Source organism: Homo sapiens, chromosome 9 (genome assembly GCF_000001405.40).
Source record: "Homo sapiens chromosome 9, GRCh38.p14 Primary Assembly".
In the NCBI taxonomy this organism is placed as follows: domain Eukaryota; kingdom Metazoa; phylum Chordata; class Mammalia; order Primates; family Hominidae; genus Homo; species Homo sapiens.
This window is the reverse complement of record NC_000009.12, coordinates 67,242,236-67,268,666: the sequence shown is the minus strand read 5'-3', so window position 1 is coordinate 67,268,666 and position 26,431 is coordinate 67,242,236. Positions and strand designations below refer to the sequence as shown.

Genomic DNA, 26,431 nt, shown 5'->3' with positions numbered 1-26,431 from the left:
ATATAAAAAGAGCTCTGTATTTGCACCAGAGCTATGAGATTTGTGAGCACAGAGATCTTCAGGACTAATAAAAGACATATGCAAGACCTTCTGAAAATTTAAATGACTTCTAGATAATGAATCCTCAAAATTCTTTTGAAAGTCACACAATTTATAGTGATTAAAGCCTGTTTTGCTGCTAAAAATAGTAAGTGTAACAGCCCAGAGACACTTAAACACACAATTACATTTTAGCTCTGATGAATCAATATTGTAAGAGGTTTCATAAAAGTATTACAAATATATTAAATAAGTCAGTACAGAGTACTTAATACTAAAATCAGTCCCTTTTTCCTTTTCTTTTTTTTTTCCCCCAAGACGGAGTCTCACTCTGTCGCCCAGGAGTGAGTGCAGTGGTGCGATCTCGACTCACTGCAACCTCTGCCTCCCGGGTTCAAGCAATTCTCCTGCCTCAGCCTCCCGAGTAGCTGGGATGCCCTGCTAATTTTTGTATTTTTAGTAAAGATGAGGTTTCACCATGTTGGCCAGGCTGGTCTTGAATTCCTGACCTCGTGATCCGCCTGCCTTGGCCTCCCAAAGTGCTGGGATTACAGGCATGAGCCACCACGCCCAGCCCTTTTCTTTTGAAAACATGATTGTACCTGAGCAGAAGCTGTGTGATACCCCACTGCACTCCTCTAAGAAGAGTCAAACATCATAGAGCAAAGTGTTTGAGTGATCCTGTTAATGACTGTCAATATTTAAGTATTCTTTTCCCCTTCTAGTTAGTATGTTTGTTTTATAAGAAAAGACATTTCTATAAAGGCCTTTTGAATCACTTAAAGTCACTGTCACAAGGGACAATGGGTAAGACGATTGCTCAAGCCTAGGAGTTCAAGTCCGGCCTGGGCAACAGAGAGGCTTGAATAGCAATACGTTGTCTCTAAAAATTAAAAACAAAAATAAGAATGATGCTTTACTGATGTTAAAATTAGAACAGTACAAGGACAGAGTTTTGAAAACCAAATTATTTCAAGAGGATTAGCATTGAACAGATGCTGGGGTAACCCAGAGATCTTCTAAATAAGAAACCCAGAGAGGACTGATAGCCTTAAGTTTTCAAAAACAGTCATATCCCTTCTAAATTCAATAGAGGAATTTGGTACAGAAATTATTCCATTTCAAATAATTCAATCTTATCCTCTCTTTATAATATCAAATGCCAGAAGCATTCTTCATACTATTTAAGTTTCATGTACTTTCCCTATAACCTGCTCCTTGGTCACACTTACCATTGGAGCAGAACGGTCCATCATAGGCTGAGAAGGCACAGTCACAGGTGACCCCCCTGCGTTTCTCTCTGCATCTCCCTCCATTGCGACACAAGTGTCCATAGGTGCTGCAGTGTCCTGCACACCCTGGCTCCACTCCTGGCATCACTGTGGCTCTTTCTTCAAGATCCAGGGCCACCCCGTTCAACTGCAGAGACCGAATGCATCCTAGAAAGCCTCTCTGTCTGGTGGCCGTTCCACCTACAACGGAAACACTGCAAATAGAAATGTGTTCCTTGGTATTTTATTCAGGATTTTATGTCCATGTCAAACTCAGGCCTTATGGAGAGTGGCAATAATCACAATGTGTCAAAAAATTTTGTGAACATATACAATTTTGAAAATATAACTGTTATGAGATATGCAGCTTTAAATGACATTGAATAAAACATTTATTTACATAACTTTCAAACATGGTGAGTCTGGCAAATAGTCCTTCTAAAAACATTTCCTTAACTTCAGGTAAGAAAGAATTTCACTTTAGTTCCTTTACAAAGAACAAAATACATAATATAAATCACATCAAACACTATTTTACTTTGTTTAGGAATAAGAATGTGCATTCATCAAACATTATTTTAATTTCTTTATGAATAAGAATGTGCATTATAATGGTTAGGTATGAACTTCCAAATTTTTCACAATAATAAAAATATATATGGATAAATTTGTTACTTGGATGGACTCTAAAAATAAAGTGTGAAAGGAAATGGATAAGCAAAGGAGGGGAAGTTGGAAGGGGTGACACCATACCCCAGGATCTCCTCCTCTCAGAGGGTACAGTGCTAAACAGTAATTGAATACTGCATGCATGCACATTTTGTCATGTCAAACTTGAATGCTGAAGAAACCATTTAGAGAGGTTTACAACACCTGTGTAGTGACAAACACCATTACGAAGGCGACAATTCTCAATGTTAGGAGCATGGAAATTACCTAGAGTTTCTGGAAAAATGCAGTTTTTAGCCTCCTCCCAGAGATTCCAATTCGGTGGCCTAAGGTGGGGGCCCCAAATCTGAACTATCAATCAGCTTTGTGGGTGATTCTGAAGCCAGTGCTTCATCCACCGCAATGAATGCTGATTCTAGGTGAATTTTATGCTAATTGTGTTTCTAGGCATTCCCTTAAATAATCTCCAAGATTACAAGTGAGAAAATCAAGTTCTTGGTTTGACCCCTCCGTGTAGTCCTCCTTTCCAGTAGTTTGATGGTTTCATGTCCTTTGAAAAAGCCTCACTGCAACTTAATAGAAGAGCTAACCACGCCTGAAGCTAGGTTTTAGGAAGTCATGGTATAACACCCCATCCACATCCACATACATACATGGGTTCATGTGTAACATTTAGTACCTGGAAGTTGTATCTACCCTCCCCTGTAAATTAGGTTGGATGATAATTTGTGATTTAGTCCAGTTTTAATTAGATTGCATCCTTATTCGCTTTAAAACACTTAAGAATGAACAAGTGAGAGCTTTAATCTGTGTAGCTCCTACGTTAGAATAGTTTCAAAAGCAATATGGAAAAATAAACAACAGTGATAAAACAGTAAGTAAGCAAACTAAAGGAAAGACTTCCAGAGCTATCACCTTTAAATAAATGGAGTGCAAGAACAGATGAGCCAGACCGGGTTATAAACAAGGAGCCTGTGATGAGAGAGCCCCAGAAGTGAGAACAGCAGCGAGGAAAACCGGGAGTGGGCTCCTGGAAGCCTGGCCGCGGGGGAGGTGCGCAGTGCTGCTTCCAATCAGCGGGTATCCTGCGATCTGGTTTTGAGTGGACCCTGGAGGACTTCTGTCCCAATTACAAGCTCTCTAACTCCACCGAGAAGTGAAACTGAAGGAATGGATAAAAATGTCTAATGATCTCACTAATAGTGTTGATAAAATATAGCTGTCACATATGCCAATCCTCTGCATTGTGAATGGTTCAAGTTTGGGGGTTGGCTATCCTGGGATCCCTCTCATTAGCTGGTTACTCCACTTCTCTGAGGCTTGGCTATCTCATCTGTAAACAGATGACAATACCTAAACATTGATACCTAAACACTGAGATACTGCAGGGCCCGGTGGCTCGCGCCTGTAATCCCAGCACTTTGAGAGGCTGAGGTGGGTGGATCATCAGGTCAAGAGATCACGACCATCCTGGCCAACATGGTAAAACCGTGTCTCTATTAAAAATACAAAAATTAGCCAGGCGTGGTGGCACCTGCGCCTGTAATCCCAGCTACTCAGGAGGCTGAGGCAGGAGAATCGCTTGAACCCGGCAGGTGGAGGTTTCAGTGGGCTGAGATTGCACCACTGCACTCCAGCCTGGGCGACACAGTGAGACTCTGTCTGAAAACAAAAACAAAAACAAACAAACAAACAAAAGAAATGTCAAATAAGAAGCACACAGCAAGCTCCTGGAACCTACCAGGTTATCAGCAAATAGTACCAATAAGCAGTAGTTGTTGGCAACTGTTGCTCTCAGTACATCACAGTTCTTAATTTCTTTTGGTCCCTCTCTGGACTCACACTAAATTCAGTTATAAACCACCAGCACTCACCAATGAAGAGCTGGCTGTTGAGCTGTAAACGAACGTGCCCATCAGCAGGGGCAGGCTGCATCTTCTGAGGAAGCTGATCAACTTGAAGAGACGCTCCTTTAACATTTCTCTCTGCCCTCACGTGGTGCCACTGATTGTCATTAAAGGGAGTGGGTGACTGCACCGTGACCTCACAAGGTCCATTCCCCACATCGAAGGAAAAGGTCACTTCTGTGGGAGCTAGAAATATTAGATATGAATATTGCTCAAGCAAATTCACAGAAAATTGAGTCTTGTGCAGACACAGGAAAACATGAAGGCACGCTCAGGATGGAAGGAGATAATGACGGCGATGCAGAAAAACAAGACTGTGAGTTGGGGTGGGGGCAGAATAAATCTGTATCCTGGAGGAAAACAGAACGGATTTTAACATATTTATCCTCAGAGTTCACAATTCAACCTTGTTAAGTCCTAAATAGTAGAGATATGTACCCATAGCTGGACTACCCATAGCTATGTACCCATAGCTAGAATACCAAATAGTATTTGTTTTTGAGGTTTCAGTAATTTTATTTACAAACGGCTCAAAGTCTCATCTAATTCTATAAACACTGAATGTAAATTTTGACAGTCATAAATTAAGCTTTGGGTACATAAAAAACAATATGTCTGGTCAAATATTTTTGGAATTCAGTAAACAATGTGATGAGTTTGGTTTAAAGCTCTGGCTCTGCTGTTCAGTACTCTAGGAAAGGCATGACATTTTAATGGATTATTACGTGCTTCATTGTTTTATTTTCTCTTAAAAATGATTACTGGCTGGGTGTGGCAGTTCACACCTGTAATCCCAGCACTTTGGGAACCCGAGGCAGGCGGATCACTTGAGGCCAGGAGTTGAAGACCAGCCTGGTCAACATGGCAAAACCCCACCTCTACTAAAAATACAAAAATTAGCTGGGCATGGTGGTGCGTGCCTATAGTCCCAGCTACTCAGGAGACTGAGGCAGGAGAATTGCTTGAACCCAGGAGGCTGAGGTTGCAGTGAGCCGAGATAATGCCACTGCACTCCAGCATGAGTGACACAGCAAAATGCTCTCTCCCTCTCTCAAAAACAAAAAATTACCTAAAATCATAGAAGTTTAGTGTTTTATAATGAAATAGAATCACAAAGTAAGAATGAAATACTACCATTTTGTTGAGTTAAAGCTTTTATTGCTAAATAATGGGTATCCTGTGACTTGTCCAGAGTGGCCAGCTTACCCCGCAGCTCAATCCTGATGAAGTCTGTGATCCCCAGGTTCTCCATAAACACCCCGGAGGAAACTGTGGTCTTAAAAAAGAAGCACACGTCAGCAGTGAGTTCTCCGTGGAAAGCAGGGAAATGAAGGTATGAAGTCTCAGTGTTGAAGGAAGCTGAATTCCAGAATGACTCTGTTTACAATAGAGAAAACGACAAAAGGAAAAAAAGTCATGAAACAAAAATAACAGCTACATTTGATACTTACAGGATTATGACTGCTAAATACATTAATAGAATGTATATGAGCTTTCACTGGGGGTTCTGAGCATCCATGTCATATACTGATGACATCAAGAGCTAAATAGTGATTACGCTGAGGATTGGAATTCTGTGTTCAGAGAAGGCCAAACAAAAGCGAAGCAAAAGCAATGAGACCAGTCAGGGGATCGCGCAGCAACACAGTAGGGACAGGGTCAAGTTCAGAATCACCTCAAAGATACGACCAACAGAACTTACTGAAGAACTCGGTAAGATGTGAGAAGAAGGGTGGAGTCTGAGGTGACTTTGGGGTTTTTGGTCTAACTAGGAAGGGAAATAATTCTAAAGAAGCAGGTTCGAGCAGCAGCTCAGTTTGGGACATGCTTCATTTGAGATATCTATTAGGCATCCAAGTGGAGATTTGAAGGAGGTAGTTGGATAAATGACTCCAGAAGCCAGAACACAGACTCTTGCTTTCCTTCCTGCACACACACACACACACACACACACACACACACACACACACACACACACACTGTCTTAATTCCTTTCATGGCAAGAACAATCAAGAACAAGAAGAAGCTTATTTGTTCCCTTCTGTCCAAAACCCATCACAGGACTGCACATCACATGTATTACTCAGGCCTCTTTAGTGTCCTTTATTCTGGTACAGTGTGTGAGTCTTTTCTTATCTTCTGTGTACTTTTGACTTTTTGGTATTTTTCAGTTGACTTGCAGAATGTTCCTCAACTTGGATTTGTCTGACATACTCATGATTGGATTCATGTTGTGCATTTTTGTCAAAAATACCACAGAAGGGCTGCTGTGTTCTCCTCAGTGTGTCGCAGCAGCAGGCAGCAATGCTGATCAGCCCATCACTGGTCCTGTTAGTTTCAAGTGCCTTGTAAAGTGGCATTTGTCCAGTTTCTCCAACATGAAGTTATTATTTTTCTCTTTTTTCATGTATTTTTGACACTTTAAGGTTACAGAAACACAACTTTACCCAGTTTAAAATTTTTTCATCCAATGGTTTTACAATATATTGATGGCTCCTGATTGAATTTTTATTCTGATGGCTGCCAATGGTGATTTTCTAAGCTCTGTCATTCCTTCCACATTAATTGGTTGACATGCCTCCGTCAGAAATAGCTTTTCTCGGCTAGGTGCAGTGGCTCACGCCTGTAATCCCAGCAGTTTGGGAGGCCAAGGCGGACGGATCATGAGGTCAGGAGATCCAGACCATCCTGGCTAACACGGTGAAACCCCGTCTCTACTAAAAATACAAAAAATTAGCCAGGCATGGTGGTGGGTGCCTGTAGTCCCAGCTAGTCGGGAGGCTGAGGCAGGAGAATGACGTGAACCCGGGAGGCGGAGCTTGCAGTGAGCCGAGATCGTGCCACTGCACTCCAGCCTGCGCAACAGAGCGAGACTCCATCTCAAAAACAAACAAATAAACAAACCAAGAAATAGCTTTTCTCTTGATCTTTTACTAATTTATTTGTGTATTTATGCATTTGTTTATTCACGTCACTCTTGAATTTGTATTCTATTCAATGGTTTATACTCTATAACTTATTTTGATGCTTAAGTTGTCTCAAATGTGGCAGCTCCTTTAAGCTGACACCCATGCCTTTTTCAGCTTTTTTTTTCCCCTTTGTCATGACAAAATGATCCAGGCTCATCTTAAATTTTCTCTGCCACATTTCTGGAATCAGCCATTTCTTCAAGGAGTCGTGGTTTCTTTTTTAGCAGAGAATGACAGAAAATGGTGTTTAGAAGCCCAGATCTGCAGGCTATTTACTAGGGTGTCATTGCTTCTAGCCCTCTCAGTAGTCAGCTAGGAAATATGTGTATTTGTATCTCTCTCTCTCTCTCACACACACACATACACACACGCAGTCTCTCTCTTCTATGTGTATTCTACAGTTATCTATTATGTATATTAAAATCCATGAGTTCATGTGGATACCTCCGTTTTTAACCCAGCACCACAGGGTTCATTACAGTCTTCCTCCTTCCCACATGTATAACTCTTTCCTCAGTGAGGTCACTCCTACTCTCCTTACTGTATTTACAGATTTGCTCATTCCCCAGTGTGGAACCAAGCTTCTAACCCAGTGGTCATTCCTTGACCCTATCCCTGCAGATCCCCTAGTCCCAGCTGCCCCAAAAGAAGGGAAAAGAATCAATAAGTGTTATGTTAAAGAAAACAGAGATGAAGGAAAGGAAAAGAGAAACGAAGAGGAAGCTACAAGTTTTACAGAAGATAATATTTTATTTTTCTTTCTTTCTTCATTAATCAATTTATTTATTTATTTTAGAGATGAGGTCTCACTTTGTCACCCAGGCTGGAGTGCAGTGGCATGATCATAGTTCACTGCCACCTCACATTCCTGGGCTCAAGAGATCATCTCACCTAAGCCTTCCTAGTTGCTGGGACTACAGGCCACCATGCCCAGCTAATTTTTAGTTTTTTTGTAAGAGACAAGGTCTTACCATCTTGTCCGGGCTTGTGTTGAACTCCTAGGCTCAAGCCATCCTCCCATCTCAGTCTCCCAAAAAGAGAAGGGAATATTTCAAATATCACACTTTCTCTTCTCCATACTTTCAGAAGTCTTGCTGAAAGTAAGATATAAACTGAAGGTGAATGACATATCCTGAAGAGTCTCACAAATACAGCCACATTTGGAGAGAAATGAAGGGCTGAGGTAAATTTCCAGAGAGAAAATAATCTAGAAAATGTTTCTGAGAAGTACAGAGTACCTAGAAACCAGTGTTTGATGTCAGAGTATCAATAGGCAGGGGAAAAGGCTACAAATTTCCAGGGGTTATTACTGAACTGTGGGAGGCATCTGAAGCCTGCAGATATACCCTCCATGCTTCAGTGTGATGCCTGGCACAGGACATTTAATAATTCTTGAAGATAAAACAGCACAGAGAATGGCCAGTAAATCAGATACAATTCAACAGATCCCTCCCTTGAGCTCTTAGATTATGGGAAAAAATATTGATAGGATGACCAACTCTAGTCCTGCTATTGCAGTTCAGAAGGGACAAGAAGTATGTGTCTGATTGTGAAGAGATGAATGTCGAGAAGAATTCAACTCCATTCCATATAAATGAATTAAATGTCTGGACAGACCTGCCAGACAGACCTGTAGTGTAGACTTACACTACAAGTATAAACAATGTTTCAAAAAGCACAGAAACAGTGCAAACATACTGAGAAAGAAAAAAAGAAGACAGGAAAGAAAGAAAGAAAAAGAAAGAAAAGAAAGAGAGAGAAAGAAAGAAGAGAGGGAGGGAGGGAGTGGGGAAGGAAGGAAGGAAGGAAGGAAGGAAGGAAGGAAGGAGTATAAAAGCCAGACTGAATGGGAGGGAGGAAGGGAGGGAGAGAAAGAGGGAGGGAGGGAGGGAGGAAGGAAGGAAGGAGCCATCTGAATGGGATGGAGGAAGGAAATTAAGAGAGAACACAAGGAAAGAAAAATTTCATAAGAGTTTCACACTATGGGAATAATATAAAAACCAATTCAGTAAAATAAGAGCTAAAATATGAGATAAACAGAAAAGATGATTTTTAAGGAAAAAAAAATCAAAGACCCAAACAAAATCACAGAGGTAACAGAGAAATCGGAAATATCTGGAAATGGAGAACACAGCTGATAACAAATTACTGACATTGGGAAAAGCTTAGAATAATCATATTGAATGCATAGGAGAAGGACAAAGAGATTAAAGCCATTGGAAGAAACAGAAAAAATGTATGGGGGGCAAAGGAAACAAGTCAACAGTCCTAGATGCAGAGAATCCAACAAATGAAACAAAGTATTCAAAGCATAATAAAAACCATTTTTTCTTAAAAGAGAACAGAATATTTCGGTCAAAATAAGCATATTTCATTTTAGAAAAAATTAACAGAATAATTAACGCTAAGGCATATTCTGGATAAGTTTTTGAAATTGAAGGATAACATATCTGTCAAGAGCTGTGAAGAGTCTGAGATTTCACCCTACTTGCAAGCTAACAATTTAGCTTGCCACAGATTAATGGATGCTGATAGAAAACACAAAATTTCCGGGTCAGAGTTAAAGAACTTTATTGCTCACAGCACAGCATGCAGCATGAGTGTCAGAATATTTGCATTGGTTCCCCTTATCTCCAAATTTCACAGGGCAACACAATCCATTGGCCCAGGTGGATGCTACACACACAGTGGGTAGGTTTGCATCTCAGATGAGGAGCCCCCAGACAAGGGTCCGGGACTCCTTCATCAAGCAGGAGACAAGCCGGTCCCCGCCCTCTCTGGGGAGTGAGTACGCGTCGATAGTGATGTTGTGTTCTCTTTGAACTACTTAGCTGCCTACACGATTGGCTACAGAAACTGCTTGGTATTAGGGGATGGAGACACCACACCATCTGGCACACTCGGCAAGAATGTACAGAGAGGCTCAGGCTCCTTGTTGAACCATCCCTCTCAGAAGTAGCCTCCACACATTGAGGTAGAACAGGAAATAAAAATACATTTAGTCTCAGACTTCTCCACGGCAATGTATGATGCTAGTGGGTAAGAAACACTATTACAATTTTTCTCAGGGAAAGAAGATTTTTACTAGCTTAGTTGTGGTTCCCGTGCTACCCAGTAGGTAGATCCTCTAAGAACCCTGGGCTTATAGTGCCACTGAGGTGGGGGAGCGAGGACTTGACCATGAAAGCCACCCATGAACGAAAATGCTGCAGGAAAGAGATTAATACACATTCGGTGCCATGTAATGTAAAACAGTATGTACAGAGGTCAGAAAATAGAGAGTGTCCAATAATTTCCTACCACTATAGTTGTCTGAAGAGTATAAGGGCAATGAATAAATATCCCTTAGCATTCAGAAAATAGTTCATCTCATGATTGTTCTGGAAAAAATACAATCAATTGATAATAAATCCAGCCAAGCAAGTAATAAGTTAAAACAAAGATGATTCATTTTCTATAAACTAATGCTTCAGTAAGGAAACACAGATCTTCAGTACTGACTGTGCCTTTATGGTATGTGTGTTTTCCTGATATTCACCCCAGTCCTAGTACTGCCACTATTCTCTTTCTGGCAAGAACAAGGGCATTTGTCTACCCCTTTATAACCAAAAAAAGTTATTATGAAAATAAAGCTTTTTCTTGACACTACTTACTATCTCCGCGGCAGAGCAGTGGCCCCAGTGTATAATCTGCTTCGGAATGTGGTTGGCCTGCGTCTGTCATCACAATCTGAGTGACTGGGAGGTGCTCCTTTTGGGAAAGGACTATTGTGTCACTAGTCCTAAAGAACAACAACCGAAACCATTAAAATTATTCTGATTAACATACGGGCAAAATTAACTCTGATCTCTTATCTCAATTTGAAACCAACATCATAGAGCTTAACAGAATACTTAACATTTTCAATATTTTGAGAGCACAGAGACTACCATGAATCTAAATCAGGGATGGGCAAACATTTTGTGTAAAGGACCATACAGTAAGCTATGCAGGCCATGCAGCTTCTCACAGCAACTACTTAACTCTGCCACCAAGTGTGAAAGCAGCCACAGACACAGGCATGGCTGGGTTGCAATAAAAATTTATGGATATGAAATCTGAATTTCATACAAGTTTTATATGACATGAAATATTCTTTTTATTTTTCAACCTTTTAAAAATGTAAAGAAAACATTCTTAGCTCACTGCCATGCAAAAATAGACTAGTGGTCTGGATTTCACCCAAAGCAAGAGGTTATCAATTCCTGACCCGTTTGCCAATTCCTGATCTAAATGATTACAGAGAAGGGGAAAAATCAAGAAGGTAACTTCCCTTCTAAAATTGTCTTAGAATAATATCTAAGTGATTATTCATTACAAATAAAAATAGTAACACTGGATTTAGATATTCATTTTGCAGAATATTAATTTATCATTATTTTTTAAAGTCGTTTTATGATTACTGGGTATTTCTTTCCTTGTTAACTTTGTAAATGCAAAATGAGTCCCACAGATTCAAAACCAAATACATACTACACCCTTATAAGTAATACATAGACTAATGAGTGTGAAAGTGGTCTGTGAAACACTGCTCCCAGTAGTTCAGGCAACAAACACAGGCCGGGCACAGTGGCTCATGCCTGTAATCCCAACACTTTAGAAGACTGGGGTGGGCAGATTGCTTGAGCTCTGGAGTTCGAAACCAGCCTGGGCAACATAGTGAGGCCCCGTCTCTACAAAAAATACAAAAATTAGCTGGGTGTGATGGTGCACACCTGTAGCAGCTACATGGGAGGCTGAGGTGGGAGGATACCTTGAGCCTGGGAGGTAGAGGCTGTAGTGAGCCATGTGTGCACCACTGCACTCCAGCCTGGGTGGCAAAGTGAGACCCTGTCTCAAAAAATACAAAAAACAAACAAAAAACCCCAAACACTCAGCGCTCACCTTTTGTCGAACAGACATTGTCCTGGGAATTGAGGACACAGAGTAAAAAATATATTTTAGTCTCTGCCTTCTGAAAGCACACAGCCTGTTGAATACCATGAGTATTAATTATGTGACTGGGAAAATAAATGCACACGTCTGGGTCCAATACAAAGAGACCTGGAGGATCCCCTAGGGGAACCTGGGGTCCTGGTCTTAGCTATGCCACTAATTTTGTCTCTGGCCAAAATAAAGGCATTTGTCTACTCTGCTGCAAAAGTATTTTATTATATATGTGTATGTAACTGTATATGTAATAAATATTTGGCCAATAATATTGCATATATGCATATATAATAAAATGCTTATATTTATATACTTTTGGTTATATTTTATTACATATATGTCTCAACTGCATGTATATTCTGATTTACAGACAAAACACTCTTAGTCCAGTTACGGTTAGAAACTCCACAGTATCTAGTAAATACTGTATGTTTTAAATTGCCCAGTTCTCAAACCTTCTTTTGTATGCATTTGTGGCAAAAGATCACAATAATTGATATTTCATCATTGCAACACTTATGTATTTTCAGAATAAGGCTTTCTGAATTAAAAAAAATTAAACTGGCATGTCAGAGTTGTACATATACTGGGGGCACATGTGCTATTTTGATACTAGAATACAATGCATAATGATCAAATCAGGGTAATTGGGATATCCATCACTTTGAGCAGTTATCCTCTGTGGTGGGAACATTACAATTCTCTTCTGGCTATTTTGAAATATCCAATAAATTACTGTTAACTATAATTTCTCTAGTTCTATCAAATACTAGAATTTCTTTTACTTAACTCGACTTTTGTACCCATTAATCAACTTCTTTTATAAAAGACTTTAGGTATCAAACTTTCAAACTGGAAAATATAAAACTAAAATAAAATGGCTATATTATTTAAGATTATTCCCTGAAAAAATACACTTAATGGTAAAGAAAGCTTATTTCTAAAATTCAGACTAAAACCCTGTTGCTTTACCTAGTTAAGATTCTGTTATTCATTTTAATGCAAAGAACAGAATATGGATTATCTAAAGGCATCACCATTCAGCTTTAGAGTGGATTGATGGTAGACAAGCTAGAAATATGTCTCCTGCTGAATGAGGTAGGTCTAGGAAATTTTTTATTAATGTGGTAGCCATTAAAAATTACCATTTCCACTTCTGTGATCATCATTTTAGCAAGATAGTCTAGTAGAGAAAATGCAATTTAATTATTTATGGAGGATGCTTGTATTTTAAAAGATCTATTTCACGGGAGCTCCAAGTTTCATTCCATTTTCAATACTGACTGTGCAAAATATTGAGAATGTGTAAATGAAATCCACATTTCAGTTTAATTAGGGCAGATACTATAGTAAAGTCTTGTTTTTTCATTGTTTTGGAAAGTCTGGTGTTTTCATTCTGAGCATAAAGATAGCCAGTGTTTTTCACCAGTTTCTTATTGTTACAGGCAGATTCCCAACCTTTGGAAATCAAAATAGAATACTCAGGATTTGTAATAGTTATCAGACTTCCTCAAAACTTCCTAATTAATAGGGACATCTCATTTTTCTTTTCTCCCTATTATTTTCTAAAGCTTATACTATAGTCTACACTTGGAAATAGTGCTTTCATAGGTACCATAATCTCTTGGAGCAGTATTAAAAATTCAGTAAGAGAACTTTCAAAGACTTTTTGCTTTTATTTTATATTTTACTAAAATTTTTATTTATTAGAAATTCCTACGGTTCTGGAAATTGTACTTTCCTAGGAAGTGTGAAAACTTCTAAAAGCTACTACTTATTATTTGCCAGGGAACTTTATTTAAGGCAAAGTAGAGCCATAAGTTTGGGAGGTTGCAAAGAAAGCTAAAAGGGAGAAATGTTGAGTCAACTTTTTAACTTTTTTTTTTTTTTTTTTCGAGACAGAGTCTCACTCTTGTCGCCCAGGCTGGAGTGCAATGGTGTGATCTCTGCTCACCGCAACCTCCACCCTCAGGATTCAAGCGATTCTCCTGCCTCAGCCTCCAGAGTAGCTGGGATTACATGCGTGCGCCACTACGCTCAGCTAATTTTTGTATTTTTAGTATAGACGGGGTTTCACCATGTTGGTCAGGCTGGTCTCGAACTTCTGACTTCATGATCCGCCCGCCTTGGCCTCGCAAAGTGCTGGGATAACAAGTGTGAGCCACCGCGCCCAGCCCAACTGTTAATGATTATTTTGGGGGAGTAGGTCAGCAATAATAAAATCATTATGATCCACATCTAACCCACTTAAAAAATTTCTAGATTCTCAGTTTCTGTTTAATTGCCTATCTTCTGGCCAGTTCAACCTGCATTAATTACTACAGCAATACAGTATGTTTTGACAGCTAACAGAACTAGTTTCTTCACTTTATTTTTCATCTTAAAAATTATCTTGCTTATCCTTTCATCCTTAATTTCCATATGAATTTTAAAACCAGGTTGCTGCAATCCACACAAGTAAAAACACTTGGCATTTTTTGGAATTTTGTTAAAATTACAGACTAATTTGAGGAGAATGTCAACTTTAAAAGAGGGTATCTCAACAGCAGCGTTACTGATATTTTGGGCTAATTTTTTTTTGTCATGGGGGGGGCTGTCCTGTGCACTGTAGGATGCTCAGCAGCACCCTGATTTCTAATTAATAGACACTAATATAAACAACCTTCCTCTCTCTGTGATGATAAAAATGTCTTCAGACAATGCCAAATGTCCCAAGAGTCGAAATCACCCCCGATTGAGAACTACTGCTTTAAGATACTGAGTCATACTATCCACGACAGTAGTGAGTCAATCCATTTATTTGGCTGTCCTTAATTCTCTTGAATAAGTTTTGTAATTTTTTCCATAAAAGTACTGCAGTTATTCCACAGAACTTTACATTTTTGTTAATATTGCAAATAAAATTTTTCTAGGTGTGTAATGGTATTTTATGATTTTATAGAAATTCAAGTAATTCCTCAATACTGACTGACCATAAATTCAGCAAACTTACTGAACTCTCATTTTTCCTGATATTTCTTTATATTATTTTGGATTTTCTATGTAGGCAATCATATTATCTACAATATCTGCCAGGTTTGTTTCTTTTCCAAACTTTTTATCACTTACATCTATTTTATTTCCTCTTGTGTCTTTAACTGACACATGCATGAGCTTTTAAAAATTATATATTCATTATTGATTACAGTTAAGAATATAGTTTCCATCATGACAATTCCGTAAAATTTGTTAAGATTCCATCCATTTACAAAATTTTTTATACTTATTCAACAATAATGTATAATACATTCTATAAAGAAATAATTTTTCCTTACTAAACGATATATGGCTGCTATATCAAGTTTGTTAATTATAATATTAAAATATTCTTACCTGCTTCACTTACTCATTCCCAAAAATGTTATGTTAATTATTCCACTGTTTTGGGTGTCAATTTGCCTTTGCATATTTGTTACATATATATATATACACACACATATATATATACACACACACACATATATATACACACACATATATATACACACACACATATATATATATACACACACACACATACTTTTTTTTTTTTTTTTTTTTTTGAGACAGAGTCTTGGTCTGTCGCCCAGGCTGGAGTGCAGTGGTGTGATCTTGGCTCACTGTAAGCTCTGCCTTCCAGGTTCATGCCATTCTCCTGCCTCAGCCTCCCGAGTAGCTGGGACTACAGGCGCCCACCACCAGGCCTGGCTAATATTTTTTGTATTTTTAGTAGAGACGGGGTTGCACCTGTGTTAGCCAGGATGGTCTCGATCTTCTGACCTTGTGATCTGCCCGCCTCGGCCTCCCAAAGTGCTGGGATTACAGGCGTGAGCCACGGCGCCCTGCCACTTCTTTATATATTTTAAACAATCTGATGATACACACAAGTGTAGTGAGATCTTTCTAGTGAGTTTATCTCAGCATTAGATAGAGTTCAAGTTTATCCCTAACAATGCTTTTCATCTTTGTCTGACATAATACAGCTATATCTGCTTTCTTTTGATTTGTATTTACGTGGTAAATATTTTCTATTCTTTTAGTTTCAACTTCACCGAGTGCTTATATTTTATCTTTTGTAAACAAGCTATAGCTTCTTTAAAAATCCAATATGATAAAATCTAATATCTGGTTTTTAAATGAACAGAGTTTACTCGTATTTATTATGATTATTTGTACACTTGTATGCATTTAAACCATCTTATTTTATGCTTTTTATTTGTGGTTACTTTTAAAGACTCTAAGGTAATCACACAAAAGTCCTATTTAAATTCTTAAGTAAAATAATATTACAGTTACATGTGTCATCATTATATTAGCAAAACAACTTGTGGATTTTTGCAGACAGCTGAATTATATGTTATATGTATATTTTAGAGAATATATTGGTCTATTTGAACATAGTCCACTATACATTTATACACATATATTGACTTGCAGCATAGTTCAATATTTTAAATCATTATAGTGCCTTTTAAATATATTTGTTTTTATAATAAATCTTTGGCATGTTATAGTTATTTGATAGAATATTCTTACTGTGCCTGAGGAACTGTCTGATCATAAACTTTTTTTTAAGTAATATGCTTAGACGAGTTGCTGATTACAGGGACAACTTATGGAAAAATGGCGATGGTTTATATTAACAATACTGCCTGCCCCATTAACGGACATATGCCTGAAGAGACTTAAAATAGCTTTCACTTTACTTTCATTCCCAAATACTATTTTTATTATAAACTTTCCACCAGGAAAACCTTACTAGGCACACCTCAGTAATAGAAAATAAGTAATAAAGACTAAGATTTATGTTCTTATGTCTATACCTTAATCTAAATTATTACAATTATAAATCTTTTCATTTCATGAGACTGGTAAATTCCATTTTTATAAACTGAAAAATCAATTTTATTTGAAAAATTAAAATAGAAATTGTAATTTCCCACCCCCCCACCCCCATACACACCCCCACATTTACAAAACAATCTACAAGAGTTGGGATAGGATTTCAGAATGCTTGTGGTCTTACTGTTGGATAGACCTATCTACTGGAAGCTGCAAAGTAAATAAAATAAGGTTAAAAAGCAAATGACTCCACAATGCTCCCTTCTGAATGTAGGAGGGGAGTTAATTTTTAAAACCTGCTTCTCTCCTAAATTTTTTTCCAAATGAAAGCCCATGGCTTCTGTCACACCAGTGCAGTCCTTGACGGTGCTGAAGTGACATGGCTAAGGGTATCAGAGGACCTGCACCCACCTCAGTTCCTTCCATTCCCCTCCTCAAACTCAGTTCATGGGAGGGTCACTCAATACAGGTGGCTCCAAGTGATACGTTCCTCTGGTTACTGCCCTAAGCATACGTGAAGTCTACAATAAAGTATGCACTTAATACTAACAGAAGGTTCTGTAACAAAAAAACAGTTGACCAGCCTGGCCAATAGTGAAACCCAGTCTCTACTAAAAATACAAAAATTAGCCAGGTGTGGCACTCGGCTGTAATCTCAGTTACTCGGGAGGCTGAGGCAGGAGAATCACTTGAATCCGGGAGGCGCAGGTTGCAGTGAGCTGAGATCGCACCACTGCATTCCAGCCTGGGCGACAGAGAGAGACTCTGTCTCAAAACAAAAACAAAACAAAACGGTTAACATTCTTCGAACTAAGTTATAAAGCCACTAGCATATATGCCATTCTGGCTTTCTTGTAATAACCTGCCAATGCTCTCCTTTCTGACCTGTAGAGAATGGGGGTGGGGACAGACCAATGAGCTGGAGGTCTTCTGAACAGCCAGGAGCTGGAGGGCTGGAGCCCTCACAGGCAGGAGCCCCTTGTGGAATGGAGGAAATGAAAACCTCCAGGATTGTTAAAGATGTCCGTCAAAAGATTTGAAGGTCGCTGTTTGTCTCATTAGAGCCCAAAGCTAACACACATCATCACATTATCATACCAGACACTTTAAAATGTACATCATACAAAATATGGTACAAAACCATTTTAACTGACGGCAAATTACTTCAGACCTGAAACTTACTGGTGGCCAGATTTGAAACTATGGATCAGATCTGTTCCTGTTACTCACTGCACTAAAACTGCATTCATTTTTAAGTAAGAGAAAGTTGTATTAAGATTGCATATCAAAATATTCAAAAAGAGTGTCTCATAAATCTGTATGATCATTTTGTAATTTTGAACTTGAGGAAGATTAAAAATAATATCCATGTAAATGTATAGTATGTATTCTATAGAAACCTCCAGTAGATTCAAGTGAGTTTTCCCAACTTCACAATATTTTTTAAAGTGATGCAAAGTAGACTTTTTATGCCAAATAAATAAGTGGACTACCATGCAGGCCAAACAACTCAATTTTTAGGAATCAAATTACTGCTTAGGTTAGCTATTTTATGTCCAAATCAATTATACTGACACCTGGATTGACCATTACGTTTTTTATTTATTAATTATTATTATTATTATTTTGAGGTGGAGTCTTGCTCTGTCGCCCAGGCTGGAGTGCAGTGGCGCGATCTCGGCTCACTGCAACCTCTACCTCCTGGGTTAAGCAATTCTACTGTCTCACCCTCCTGAGCAGCTGGGACTACAGGCACACACAGCCACACCCGGCTAATTTTTGTATTTTCAGTGGAGACGGGGTTTCGCCACATTGGCCAGGCTGGTCTCAACCTTCTGACCTCAGGTGATCCACCTGCCTTGGCCTCCCAAAGTGCTGTGATTACAGGCATGAGCCACAGTGCCTGGCCTAAGTTTTTTTTTAAAGCACGTACTCTACACGATCTAGTTGTTTTATGACAATGCTTTTTAAGTTGCTGACATGAACCCAAAGGTTGAAAACATTTACATATTACAAATAAAAAAAAAGAAAACCAATATGCATTTCAAGAATAACCTCAAAAAGAACTTCTGAAAAAGAGGCATTGCAATCTACATGAGAAAATTGTTTCTGCTCAAAAGAAAGCTTACAAAATAATTTTCAAATTCTGGAAATTCTATGTTAGTTGTTTCAAAGTATGGTCTACAGAACAGTTGGTGCTTGAAGCTTTGCTATTGCACTGAAGATTTCAATGAGTGTGGGAAATTGTTGCTTCTACAAAATAAACACAGTCCTTTTATGCAGGACCTCTCAGAGTTTCTTGTGTTAATGTTAATTTCTAAAAGAAAGACAGAATATGCAGCATTATATCCCAAATCAATTTAAGACAAAGATTTGGAGGAATTTGCTTTTTGAATTGCCACATGAATACTACGTTAATTAATTAACTAAACTTCGCAGAGAATGATATTTGATTTCCAGTGAGTGGAAAACTTAACAGCTGCTTCTCTTTTATGAAAAATAAAAAACACATTATATAGTATTCACAATGAATTAGTAAATCTTTGGTCATAAAATTTAATCCTTAGATTAACTGATCATATTTCATCAAAACTTGTATTTCAGCTTGCTTGAACATACTTTAATCTAGTTACCTTATTGTACCAGCTTGTCTGACATTTAATTAACTATGCATAATTAAAGAATAAAAACCACATTTTTGTGCAGGGAAATCATGTGGAAATCACCATTCATTCCGGCCAGCATCACAGTTGCAGTAATACTGAGAATCAATGCAGTTCCCCTCTAATCCACAAGTACACTTTTGAGCATCAGGCAGAGAACCTCCCCAGGAAGTGTGTGTTTCATTGGTTCTTCCAACCCACCAGCTCAGTGGGGTTCCATCTGAAAGACAAGTATAAGAAAGATGACATCTACTTTGTCCCTCACTATCACCCTCCCCATATAGCTCCCTTTACTCCCAGGTGTAAAGTGTATGTGTGAGAGGCAGAGAGAGAGAAAATGAAACTATACTTAAACACTTGTATTTTACCTCTGAAATGTTTCTTTAAGCCTAACCAATGTTTTTCCCCCAATATTTCAATATCTAGGCTTAAATGATTCCATCTATTTTTCTTCTATTAGAAATCAGTCAGTTGCATGTGATACATACTTTCTATAGAAATAACATTCAAAAAAATTCACCATTAAAATAAATACCAGAGTAATTTGCACACTAAAGATAAAATCTATTTGAAATTATGAAATGTTCATTGAGAAAGTTTAATATTATACAAAGACATTGATTTATCTCATCCCATCTTTTTGCTAACTACCTGTATATTACACATTTGGAAAGATACACGTACTCTCTGTCAGTACTTACTAATTTTTGGAGGTATTTGTTTTTATTGCATTGGATGTCCTGACTCTTTATTTGGAGGTTAAGGAATGACATTGATAGGCTTTTCTCATCTCTGAGGTTAGAGATTTCTCATGCAAAGAAACAAAGTGCCCTGGGTCAACTACAGCTCTGAGGAGTGCGCCTCCTTCTCAGCACTGACAATGATTAAATGATAGAGTCAGACACTAACTCAGATCTATAGAACTGCATATTAGGACAAGGGATGCTGCCAGGGGTTGGGAGTGAAGATTGGGGTGATGGACTGACAGCACATCACAGTAAAGTTAGGATAATTTAAAAAGCAGGTGTCAGGCCACCTATCTTAAAAAAGGAAAGGGGTCAGAGGCCACAAGTTGCAGTCATCACAGATTAGGCCATGAGGAAAATGAAATTGGATTAACTCAACCAGTTTTTTAAACATGCTTGATCATGTGGTGCTGTTTTTCAAATTTCAATAGCTTGTTACCATTGGAATATGAATCGAGATCTGGAACTTAGCTTCTACCTTACTGCTTATTACAACTCAATTATAACTCATTCATAGATAAGATCTCTGCATTCATTACCACCACCACTATCCATCACCTGCCCCTCTGCCAAAAAACAAAAAAAACAACAACAAAAAAGGCAATCTGGGAAAATTTAAAGAGGGATTAGTACCAGGAATCTTTTAAAAATGTGCTAAAAGCTTGTTACTACAACGTAAAAGATATTTTTAAAAATTAATACACTCTTCTCGGAATGCCACTTTAAAAGTTACCGACTTCACCATTAAACTGTCGCAGATTAAAGAGCAAAACACTCATTATATCCTAATGTACAAGTATAAATTTACATCTAAATCTCCCATATTCCCCATAAAGTAGTAAAAATGTATTTTTTTAGAAACAGTAACAAAAAGATGTAAGTGGGTGAACTTCTAGACTGATAAAAGATCTTGTAGACTTGTCTATCCCTGCTATTTCCACCAAGTATAATGATAGATTCTGGAAATAATACAGAAGACAACCGAAGAGAATTCTGAAAGGTAGAAAGAGGAAGCTTAGGACCCCAGGACTGGAAGATACAATAACATAACGTTTTAAAAAACTCTGAATGGGCTCAAGAATAGAGTGAAAAAACACAGGACAGAATCACTGAACTTGAGGGCCCATCAATAGGCTTTATCTAACCTGACCAAAAAAGAGAGAACAGACTGAATATAAAAAGAACTGAGCCATAGGGTCCTATCAGACAATATCATCCGAATCTCAAAAAGAGAGAACAAAGTGTGCTGAAAGAGTACTGAAAAAATACTGGCTGTAAACTTCCCACATGTGGTGAAAGATACAAACCCACAGATTTAGGAAGTTAAGTTTAAGTCCAAAAAAGGATAAACCCAAAAATATCGACACCAAGATCCATCATAATTGAACTTTTTGGAAACAAAACAAAACAAATCTTGAAAGCAGCCTGAGAGAATAACACATTACCTGCCTGTAAAAGAACCCTAATTTGAATGATAGTAGATTACTCATCTGAAATTACAGAACCAGAAGGAATGGCATATTTTTTTTCAGGGCTGATAGAAAAAAAATTGTCAACTATAAATTATATACCCAGAGAAACTATCCTTCAAGAATAAAATGGAAATAAAATCTTTTTAGGCCGGGTGCGGTGGCTCACGCCTGTAATCCCAGGACTTTCGGAGGCCGAGGTGGGCGGATCACGAGGTCAGATCGAGACCATCCTGGCTAACACGGTGAAACCCCGTCTCTACTAAAAATACAAAAAATAGACGAGCGTAGCGGCGGGAGCCTGTAGTCCCAGCTACTCAGGAGGCTGAGGCAGGAGAATGGCGTGAACCCGGGAGGCGGAGCCTGCAGTGAGCCGAGATTGTGCCACTGCACTCCAACCTGGGCGACAGAGTGAGACTCCATCTCCAAAACAATAACAACAACAAAAAACCTTTTTAACACAAAAGAAAACTAAAATAATTTGTCGCTAGCAGACATTCCCTAAAGAATGGCTAAAGGAGGTTTTTCAAAAAGAAAGGAAATTATAACAAAGGATTCTTGGAACATCAGGAAAAAAATGAAAAGAGAAGAAATATGGATAAATATAATAGACTATCCTTATCAATTTTTGAAATGACATATGATAATTGACACAAAAACTGTAATACCATATGATACTCAAGACAATGATATTTAGAAGTGGGGAAGATAAAGGACCCAAATAGACATAAGGATTCCATATTTCATTATGAGAGTGAAGATATTTAAGTTGACTGTGGTAAGTCACATATGTACACTATAATACCAAGCAACGAGTAAGAAAATTATAAAAATTACCTTAAATGTAAATGGTTAAAATATAACAAAAGTTAGATGTTGGCAGAATCAACTGAAAAAAAAATAACACAACGAGAAATTTATAAGAAACTCACTTCAAAATAAACATAGGCAGGTTAAAAGTAAAAGGATGGAAAAAATACACTCTGCAAAAATTAAATTTGAAAGAAAGCAGAATGGCTATCTCATAAAATAGACTTCAGAACAAAAATACTAGAACAGGGACATTACATAATGATTTTTAAAAAAATCACCAGGAAGACATAAATGCATATGCAAGAAACAATACACCCTTAAAAAAATGAGGCAAAAATTGAGACTTCTGGTTTCCAATCTGATATGACGTTAAGAGTCTGGAAGTCATCGCTCCCATTCTCACAACAAGAAAAAAGCTGCACTAACTAAAAATAAACAGTTCTTCTTACACAGTTAAAGTCATAGGGCAAACATTACTCCTAAAGCTGCAGAGACAACTGAAAACAGCATCACGGCTAATGGAGCCAAAGCAGATGGTGGAGTCTGGTAAAAGCACTTAAAATGTAACTGACTAATTGATGGATACTGAGCAAGGACAAGCTACAGAGATTGAAAACTCCTAGAGTGGGGGATACGCCTTAGAGGGTCAACACACCTTCAAGAGTTTTATCTCCAGGAAGAGCCCCATCAAGTTCTCAGAATAAAGATAGGAAAAAAATGCTCTTATGTCTCCAGCAGGGGGAGGGAAGGAGTAAACATTTTTGAAATAAGCGCAGAACATTATGTTCTCCTTAACAACATTCTAATCCCCCGAAAAGCTAGTTTACTAGAGCCTAAACCACCTAGGGGAATGGAAATATCCAGAACCAGCCCCCTCTACCCTTCTTTTCTTACCCAAGGGAAGGGGAAGGAAGCTGAGAAGCACTCTGAAGGTCACAGTCCAGGAAGACAGGTTCTCTAAAAGACTGACCTAATCCTAAGAGTACAGGATGCTTCTGGCCGGGCGCGGTGGCTCACGCCTGTAATCTCAGCACTTTGGGAGGCCGAGGCGGGCAGATCATGAGGTCAGGAGATCAAGACCATCCTGGCTAACATGGTGAAACCCCATCTCTACTAAAAATACAAAAAATTGGGCCGGGTGAGGTGGCTCAAGCCTGTAATCCCAGCATTTTGGGAGGCTGAGGCGGGCGGATCACGAGGTCAGGAGATCCAGACCATCCTGGCTAACATGGTGAAACCCCGTATCTACTAAAAATAGAAAAAAATTAGCCGGGCGTGGTGGCGGGCGCCTGTAGTCCCAGCTACTCAGGAGGCTGAGGCGGGAGGATGGCGTGAACCCGGGAGACGGAGCTTGCAGTGAGCTGAGATGGCGCCACTGCACTCCAGCCTGGGCTACAGAGCGAGACTCTCTCAAAAAAATTAAAATAAAATAAAAACATTAAAAAAAAAAGAGTATAGGATGCTTCTCCTCTCCCCGCACCTTATCATCAATCAGATCAGTACATTACCTGTATAGTAACAGGAGATTAAAAATGAAAGAGCTGTGAATTTTAGACCCTATTTAAGACAGAGTCTCTGGGAAAACTCAAAACGGAAGAAAGAAAAATAAAATAACCTTAGAGGAAATTTTGGCCTCTGACACCACAGTTATGCAAAGAGCAAATTCAGCCTAACTACTAACTAGATAAACATAAAACCTTACATTAAAGGCTTCCTTACCTCAGTTCCTTTGCCAATACAACATGTCTGGCTTTCAACAGAAAATTGCAAGGTATGCTAAAGCCAAACAATACAGTCTTATGAGACGAATCAAGCAAACATGCAGATGTGACAGATTTGGAAATATCAGATAAGGAATTTGAAATAATAATCAATATGCTAAAGGCTCTATGTTGAAAAAGTGGGCAACATGCAAGGAGAGATAGGTACTATAAACAAAGATATGAAATCTCAAAATCAGAAGGAAATACAGAGATTAAAAGTAAAAATTGTAGAATGTCTTTGATGGCCTCATCAAAGTCTGGGAAGACTGGGAAGTGCTGAGGAAAGAATCAGTGAGTTTGAAGATATGTCAATGAAAATTTTCCATTAAAAACAAAGAGAAAAAGAATGAAAAATGAAACATAATATCCAAACTGTTGGACAATAATTTTTTTTTTTTTTTTTTTGAGATGGAGTCTCTCTCTGTCGCCCAGGCTGGAGTGCAGTGGTGCAATCTCGGCTCACTGCAAGCTCCGCCTCCTGGGTTCACGCCATTCTCCTGCCTCAGCCTCCCGAGTAGCTGGGACTACAGGCGCCTGCCACCACGCCCAGCTAATTTTTTGTATTTTTAGTAGAGGCGTGGTTTCCCCGTGGTAGCCAGGATGGTCTGGATCTCCTGAACTTGTGATCCGCCCGCCTCGGCCTCCCAAAGTGCTGGGATTACAGGCAAGTGAGTCACCGCGCCCGGCCCTGTTGGATAATTTCAAACGGTGTAACCTATGTAACCCATAATCGGAATACCAGAAGTAGAAGGAAGAGAGTGAGAACCAGAAGAAATATTTAAAATAATGACAGTTGAGAATGTTTCAAAATTAATGACAGACATGAAACCATAGGTTCAGGAATCTCAGCAAACACCAAGCAGGTTAAATACAAAAAAATCCACACCTAGGCATCTCATGTTCAAATTGCAAAAAATTGAAGACTTTCTTAAAATTAAAATAAAATCTTTTAAAAATAAAATCCCGAAATAAACCACAGTAAAATAAAACACCTTACCTACATAGGAGCAAGAATGAGAATTATGCCAGATTTCCCTTAAGAAACCATGCAAGCAAGAAGAAAGTGAAGTGAAATATTTAAACTGTTGAGAGAAAACACACACTAATATAAAATTCTATATCCAGTAAAATTATCCTAAATAGTAAAGTAGAAATAAAGACTTAGATAAACAGAATTGAGGAAATCTTTCTCCAGTAGACCTACCTTGCAAGCCATGTTAATAGAAGTTCCTCAGAGAAAAGAAAAACAATATAGGTCAAAAACACAGAAATACATAAAGAAAGGTAGGAGCATTAGAGAAGAAAAAAATTAAAATAAAATCTAGTGTCTTCTTCTTAATTGATGTAATAGGTAACAGCTCTAAATAATACTAACAATGTATTGGGTGATTATGGCTTATGAATAAGTAAAATGAATGATAATAATGTAATACAAAATAAGACAGAAGGATTGGAAATGCTGTGTTATAAAGTACCAGCACCATTAATGAAGTGGAATAGTGTTATTTGAAAGTAGATTGTTATAGTGTACATTTCATACTCAAAGGCTACCACTAAAACAATTACCAAGAAATGTAATTAATATTCTAGGAGAAGTGAGGATATGGAATCATATAAAATGCTCAATTAAAACAAAAAATGTGAGAGGGGAATTCAGGAAAAAAAGAAGAAACAAGGGCAACAAATAAAAAAGAGTTACAATATGGCAAATATTAATCCAAGTATCAATAATCACTTTAAATGTAAACAGTCTAAATATACCAATTAAGAAAGCAATGGCAACAAAAGCCAAAATTGACAAATGGGATCTAATTAAACTAAAGAGCTTCTGCACAGCAAAAGAAACTAAAATCAGAGTGAACAGGCAACCTATAGAATGGGAGAAAATTTTTGCAATCTACCCATCTAACAAAGGGCTAATATCCAGAATCTACACAGAACTTAAACAAATTTACAAGAAAAAATCAACCTCATCAAAAAGTGGGCGAAGTATATGAACAGACACTTCTCAAAAGAAGACATTTATGCAGCCAACAGACACATGAAAAAATGCTCATCATCACTGGCCATCAGAGAAATGCAAATCAAAACCACAATGAGATACCATCTCACACCAGTTAGAATGACGATCATTAAAAAGTCAGGAAACAACAGGTGCAGGAGAGGATGTGGAGAAATAGGAACACTTTTAGACTGTTGGTGGGACTGTAAACTAGTTCAACCATTGTGGAAGACAGTGTTGCGATTCCTCATGGATCTAGAACTAGAAATACCATTTGACCCAGCCATCCCAT

At 38.3% G+C, this 26,431-nt stretch overlaps 1 pseudogene across 1 annotated transcript in view; it reads right to left on the bottom strand.

Moving 5' to 3' along the window:
• Positions 1-26,431, bottom strand: part of CNTNAP3P2 (CNTNAP3 pseudogene 2) — a 237,697-nt pseudogene that overhangs the window by 28,490 nt on the left and 182,776 nt on the right. Inside the window, exons 14-18 of the transcript NR_111893.2 lie at positions 19,410-19,566; positions 10,509-10,636; positions 5,093-5,263; positions 3,854-4,072; positions 1,272-1,511 (exon numbers count right to left, since the gene is read on the bottom strand). The product of NR_111893.2 is annotated as a CNTNAP3 pseudogene 2 (transcript). The remainder of the gene's footprint in view (positions 1-1,271; positions 1,512-3,853; positions 4,073-5,092; positions 5,264-10,508; positions 10,637-19,409; positions 19,567-26,431) is intronic.